Source organism: Homo sapiens, chromosome 6 (genome assembly GCF_000001405.40).
Source record: "Homo sapiens chromosome 6, GRCh38.p14 Primary Assembly".
Classification (NCBI taxonomy): Eukaryota; Metazoa; Chordata; class Mammalia; order Primates; family Hominidae; genus Homo; species Homo sapiens.
In genome coordinates, this window is record NC_000006.12 from 32,409,053 (window position 1) to 32,415,915 (window position 6,863).

The 6,863-nt window shown below is 43.7% G+C and overlaps 2 annotated features.

Moving 5' to 3' along the window:
• Positions 5,174–5,449: a silencer, noted in NCBI's record as "fragment chr6:32382003-32382278 (GRCh37/hg19 assembly coordinates)". NCBI's record gives its function as "represses an EF-1alpha promoter that drives an FKBP-Casp9 reporter gene in an ReSE screen in K562 erythroleukemia cells {active_cell/tissue: K562}" and the evidence as "EXISTENCE:reporter gene assay evidence [ECO:0000049][PMID:32094911]".
• Positions 5,646–5,794: a silencer, noted in NCBI's record as "fragment chr6:32382475-32382623 (GRCh37/hg19 assembly coordinates)". NCBI's record gives its function as "represses an EF-1alpha promoter that drives an FKBP-Casp9 reporter gene in an ReSE screen in HepG2 liver carcinoma cells {active_cell/tissue: HepG2}" and the evidence as "EXISTENCE:reporter gene assay evidence [ECO:0000049][PMID:32094911]".

Here is a 6,863-nt window from a genome sequence, read left to right on the forward strand (position 1 = left end):
GTAAGAGTAAAGAAAGCCCCACAACATCCATACCAAGCATGATTTCTCAGCCTTGTGAACTAAAATGAACTCACACTTGCTACAGACCACTTCAGAGGCTTGCGTTCCTGTAGGTCTTTCATGTCAAAGCGGTGGGAGGGAAAATCTACAAGTGAACTCTCAAAAAAATTGCTCAAATCAATGAAGCTTTCGAAGAATGTTGGGAGAATCCATCTCCAGTGCTCAGATAGACTGTGAGAGAATATATCAGGGAGGATAACCACCTTGGACCAGGGTTCTTAATGGGCAAAGAGGCTGTTTTGCCCTTAGAGGACATTTGGCAATGTCTGGGAACATTTTCAGTTGTCACGACTGGGGGAGGGGACATATATTGAGTAGAAACCAGGGGTGTTGCTAAACATTCTATGAGGCACGTGGCAGCCCCCACAACAAAGAGTCATCCAGCCCAGAAGGCCGGTGGTGCCGAGGAAATGCCCTGCCACAGGGTTTGCTGTCAGGATGCTGAAAAGCTTTGGCACATTTTTTGAAAATAGATAACTAGACTTAAATTGCCATCTTTAAGTAAAAACCTTTTAAAATGATAAGCTTTTGACCCCTCCGTTTTACTATTTGGATGTAATGCAAGAATCTTCTGAAACTGCTGTTCCTATTAAATATAGTAAATTTTGGTGTTGTCAAGATATATGATCTAATATGCAAATGTATCATCAAATTCTCAAAAACCCATGTTTAATTTAATTTAATTTTCTGGATAAAGTTTAAGTGTTAAATTGTAATAATAAGTGGTAGCTTATGTTTAGGCATTAGATGATGAACAATTCTGAATTTCAAGGCCTATCCTGCACTGCTAAAACTCATATCAAAGAAAATTGCAAATTACTACGTATCATGCATGGGTCATTAGAACTTTTTTCAGTAAAAGCCTCAAATGTTGCTCCTCAAAATGCCAAGCAGCCATAGTAACTGACTGGTAAGAATAAATTAACTTAGTTCACGAAGTTGAAAGCTTATGTATCTTAGTTCACGAAGTTGAAAGCTTATGTATCTATGTAGACATTAAAAACAGCTATAGTTTGTTTTTTTCTTGTAAATTTGTTTGAGTTCATTGTAGATTCTGGATATTAGCCCTTTGTCAGATGAGTAGGTTGCGAAAATTTTCTCCCATGTTGTAGGTTGCCTGTTCACTCTGATGGTAGTTTCTTTTGCTGTGCAGAAGCTCTTTAGTTTAATTAGATCCCATTTGTCAATTTTGTCTTTTGTTGCCATTGCTTTTGGTGTTTTGGACATGAAGTCCTTGCCCACGCCTATGTCCTGAATGGTAATGCCTAGGTTTTCTTCTAGGGTTTTTATGGTTTTAGGTTTAACGTTTAAATCTTTAATCCATCTTGAATTGATTTTTGTATAAGGTGTAAGGAAGGGATAGACTGGATTAAGAAAATGTGGCACATATACACCATGGAATACTATGCAGCCATAAAAAATGATGAGTTCATATCCTTTGTAGGGACATGGATGAAATTGGAAACCATCATTCTCAGTAAACTATCGCAAGAACAAAAAACCAAACACCGCATATTCTCACTCATAGGTGGGAATTGAACAATGAGATCACATGGACACAGGAAGGGGAATATCACACTCTGGGGACTGTGGTGGGGTCGGGGGAGGGGGGAGGGATAGCATTGGGAGATATACCTAATGCTAGATGACACATTAGTGGGTGCAGCGCACCAGCATGGCACATGTATACATATGTAACTAACCTGCACAATGTGCACATGTACCCTAAAACTTAGAGTATAATAAAAAAAAAAAATTAAAAAAAAAAACAGCTATAGTTTATCATATGTTAAAACAATACATTTTTATAGAGAAAGCTAAAATAAGATTTCTAGGAGACAAAGTGAATTGGGTTTTTGTGTGTGTGTGTGTGACCTTGGACATCTTTCTTTACTTTTTTGAGCCTGTATTTTCTCTGCTGTGTGGTGGAGACAATCATCCTAATGTTTTCCAAGCTGTGTCATGACCATGTGACATAAGAAGACGTCAAGGCTCAGGGACACATGCCCCACATCATCCATGACAAATGAAAATGTGATCCTGGTTTTCTCGTTTTTAATTTCGTGCTTCTTCCTCACTCAGCCTGCTTCACAAGAACACTGTGAGGGTCAAATGGGCTACAATCGCACTTTGAAGACTGCGCAGTGGGATATAAATGTAAGTGGGAGGCAGTGTAACAGGTGGCAGCATTTCCCTAAAGGACATTGATTCTGTCCGTATGTCCTACTCTGTAATCTGAGACAATGTCCCCAGCTTCCCGTGGCCATCCTTCACCAGGGAATCCAAACCACTCACGTGTCTCCCTCTCTCCTTTGGGGCGAAACCTGGTGCTACTGGGTCTTCTCACTTAGCCCCAGATGTATCTTCATCCACATAGCAGGTGGTCAGAAACAGGTCAGAGCCCTGGGGTGTGCTGATCAAAGACAGAACTGTGGGAGAGCCAGAGAGTGTGGAGGCCTCCTCCAGGACTTTGGGTGAAGGAGGATTTAAGCCGTCTCACCCCAGTTGAAGGCAGAGCCAAATCCCGGAGGCCCTGTGAAAATGAGATTGCATTCTGAAAATCAGAATAGCACATTCACCTCCTAACAGCTATAATCCTCTCAACAGTGAAACTCCGGGGACAAGTGGACTTTGGCTGGGTTCAGTTGTGAATTCTGCAGACGTGCACACAAAATCATGACACTGGCAATTCTCACCTTCCCCAGAAAGCCAAGGCCTTCATGGAGGCCTCATCTGCAACCCCCCAGTTAGGTCCTCACACAGACCCCACCGTCCCACACATCAGCGGGTGCTATCCACCCTTCCCTCCACCTTGCCACACATCAAAGATTCCCAACTAGTGCCAAGTCTCCACCAGAGCATGGCACTCATCGGGCTGGAGTTGGAAGCAAAACTGAATATCAAACGTGCCATCCCTCATTCCACTGATGAGAAAACAGAGACCCAGAGAAAGGAACTGCCCTCTCCAGGATCAGAGCTCTGGGCCAAGGTCCCTTGTGGGCTACTTTATTGCTCTTTTTACTCAGGTACTTTATCTCCCTTTGCTGAGTAATAAAAGGTTTAATTACTCTCAGATGTTTACCAAAGAAATGTAATAACCTTCTCAGCATAATATTTGGGCATGAAGAGTATAATGATAGGCATATTTTGTGTGTGTTTTTGTTTCTGCCAGATTTTCCTTTACGTTCCCCTTAAGTCTGTGTTCCTTGAGCTAGAGGGGGTCTCAGATATAGTCTCAGGATTTCAAGAGTTCTCCAGAACAATTTTTAATTTAATTGCAGATTTTCATGTCAATGTAATGATAAAAGCATATGCAGCATTATGATGTTACAAGGTTTGAGCCGATTTTTTCCTTAAGTTTCTTTCCCTCCCATTATGAGCAGCCCATAATTGGGTCCCCTGACTTACGGTTACGATTCTTAATGTAAGGGTTTCCCCCTCCATCCTTCAGTCTAGACAAAGACCCTCCCCTCACTGTAGAGGATGAGAGATTTGGAGAGAAGAGAAACATAATTAAACATGGACGAGGATAGGAGGGTCTCTTTACCCTGGTTCTCTCTCAATTGGAGTAGAGGGGAATGAACCCCACTTCACCTCCGGTTCCCAGAATGGTAGCGATGCCCACAGATGTCCCTCTCAGAGTGGCAGCAAAGGAAAAGTTCTCCAAGGCAAGAAGTGGCAGACTCTGGAAGGCTCCAACAGTGGGATGAAAGTTTGCTGCCTAAAATGCTGGGATGGAATGTTCCAGCAAGAGGAGAGTGGCATCAAGGACATAACAGTGATCGTCACCACTGTGGGAAGGACAGTGACGACCAGGAAACACGACGCGATAGTGACATATTGTGGGAGCTGATGATGCAAATGTGAGGAGAGACTTCTACACCAGCCCTGCTCCGCCTCCCACCTCAGAACTTAGAAATCACACGGCAGGTGAAGGAGAGGCTGCTATTAAATTAATTGTGTGAAAGCCCCTGAATTTATCTGGAAATTACCAGATGAACTCCTCTGTCAGAAGACATAATAATGCTTGGCATACAAATTAAAATCCGTAATAGGAAAATATAGAAATTTACTTTATACACCTGAATGTGTGAAAAGATGCCGCTCATTGCATGCATTCTGTAGTATCATCTCTATGGTACCAAATGCTGCAATTATTTGAATTTTTTATGGTCAGTCACATCAGCGCCAACTCACCGCGTAAAGAAGCTCCGTTTACACTCGCGTGTGTGTGTTCTCACAAATCATCTGCATACACTTTCTCAGAGGTCTGCCTGTGCTGAGAACTGTGTCCTAAATTATGCTACATATTATGGGAGGTCATTTTGTGCAGGAAGATGTTGGTGTGTGGGAGAGAAAAAAAGGAGTCACAATCTCTGCATTCTGACTAGAGTCCACCTCCAGGAGAAGCGGGAAAACAAGGCATAAGCTGCTAGAACTGAGGAGAGGGAAAAACAAGCATCCGGCGAGGGCAGGAGGAACAGGAGAGGGGAGTCATGGATCTGCCTGGCCACCAGAGGGCAGCAGAGACGGGCTCACTGTCGGCTTCAAGGATGTTCCGCAAGTCGATTCACTTACAGACTCTTCTTCAAATGCGGCGGTCACCTGTGACCCACATTCATAACTCCCTCAGCCACTAGACGACAAAAGAAGCCCTGAGTTTAGGCTGACTGAGATTTTCATTCTAGCTTTGCTATACATTTGGGCAAGCTTTACTTTGGGTAAGTCTGTTCTTTCCAGGGGTCTCAATTTTCTTAGTTTTTACACAGGGATAGTATGTGGGTGGCTCACATTAAAGTATCGTTGTAAGGATAAAGTAAGAATATAATCATGATACAAAATCCCTTTATAGCTATTAGGTGTCATTACTGGGAATGGAAGGTCTTGGAAAGAAGGTGGATAGAAAAATAGAGGAGATTAGAAATGAAGATAAGAAATCAAGGTCAATCCAAGAAATGTCAGGAAAGTGTTGCTATGAATATGGAGAAGTTCAGGCGACGCCATCAGCTGTTTCTTGGGGACCTGGTTGAAAGATGTTTTGAGAGCTCTTAGATCAACTCACCAGAAAGATGATTACTTTGTGGAGTCTCCCAGCAGTGAGACTTATACAGGTATCGTTTCCTCAGGGAAAGGAAAGAAAAATCAGCAGCTCTCATCTCCTGGAGGCACAGTGGCTTGTCCTCCACAGTCCCCTCGGTTTGCTGACTGACTGGAGGAGAGAGAGCACCTGCAGAAGCCCTGCGACTCCTCCCCCAGATGTGAGTGGGGGGCCTGGGATTCCCGAGGCCAGTGAGGGGAGGGTGGTGCTCACAGGACGGAGGCCTTTCCTCACAGCGTGGCCACGGTTCAATCTGCACCTCTGGCCATTTTTCTTGATTGGCAAAAAGAAGGAAAGAAGAAAGGAAGAAAGGGAGGAAGGGAGGGAGGGGGGAGGAAGGAGGGAGGGAAAGAAAAGAAAAGAAAAAAGAAGAAAAGAAAGAAAAGAGAAGAAAGGAGGAAGGGCAGGCAGTAGAACTTCTGAATAGGAAAATGCCCAAACATTTAGGGATGGAGGACTGAGGTATTCTTAGTTCTGGCTGACCTACAGTCTAAGTTGAGCTCTTTACATACATGGCTGTCATATACTTTACAAAAAGTGTCTGACAAACCAGTTCCTCTAAAACTTTTAATTTTAAAAAATTTAGGTTGGGTGTGGTGGCTCACACCTGTAATTTCAGCACTTTGGGAGGCCGAGGCATGTGAATCACCTGAGGTCAGGAGTTTGAGACCAGCCTGGGCAACATGGTGAAACCCCGTTTTTACTAAAAATACAAAAATTAGCTGGGCGTGGTGGTGCACGCCTGTAATCCCAGCTACTCCAGAGGCTAAGGTAGGAGAATCACTTGAACCTGGGAGGCGGAGGTTGCAGTGAGCTGAAATTGCGCCATTGCACTCCAGCCTGGGCAACAGAGTGAGACTCTGTCTCAAAAAATAAATAAAATAAAATAAAATAAATTTTTACTTTTAAATTTACTTTTATGAAAGAGTTACAGAAGTTTAAGACAATCACAATGATCATCTATTATTTTTTGAAAATGATGAAATTACCTAAAATTGATTCTACTGCAGGTGGGAGCCTATAAGACTAAAGTTCCCAGGAAGAGATGTAAGCTTCGGTGAAACCCACCTCAGTTGACTCCAAAACTAATGCAGATGCCCCCTTGGGGAATTGCGGGGAGAGGGTGTACAGAATGTGTTAATACCATCACACTCCTCCCAGGACCCCAAAGAAGCTGCACTCACAGAGATATCCGGGCATGTCTCACACTGGAAATAGGGGACCCTTCCAAATATTGGGAGAAAGAAGGCAAAGAAAATCATACCGATATACTAAGCCTCCTGCATTTGCACCCATCCAGCCTGCCATTCATCCTGGGTTCTTTTACTTGGTCCTCTTGGGGCCTCTGAGAGGATCTCCATCTCTGCGAAGTGCATTCCCCACCGGGCTGTTGCAGTTCCACACATGGCCAGTAGATGACAGGTTTGTTCAAGAACCGCCTCCAAGATTTTACTACTGCACCGCGATTTCAGAGTGGCGGGAAGGACTGAGAGTCCCATTTAGAAACTTCCCAAATCTTAACTGCCAATATCTTTCTTTCTAAAATTGTGTTTTTGTATTTCGTGGTAAACTCAGTTCAAAGCCGCGGATGGGGGCAGGAATAGGAAAACTGCTGCTGCTGCTGAATATGCTTCTCTCTCTTAAAGGTCCCAGCAGAATTCTGCCACTGAACCACCCTGGGAGAATGCGGGGGAAAGAGAGGAGG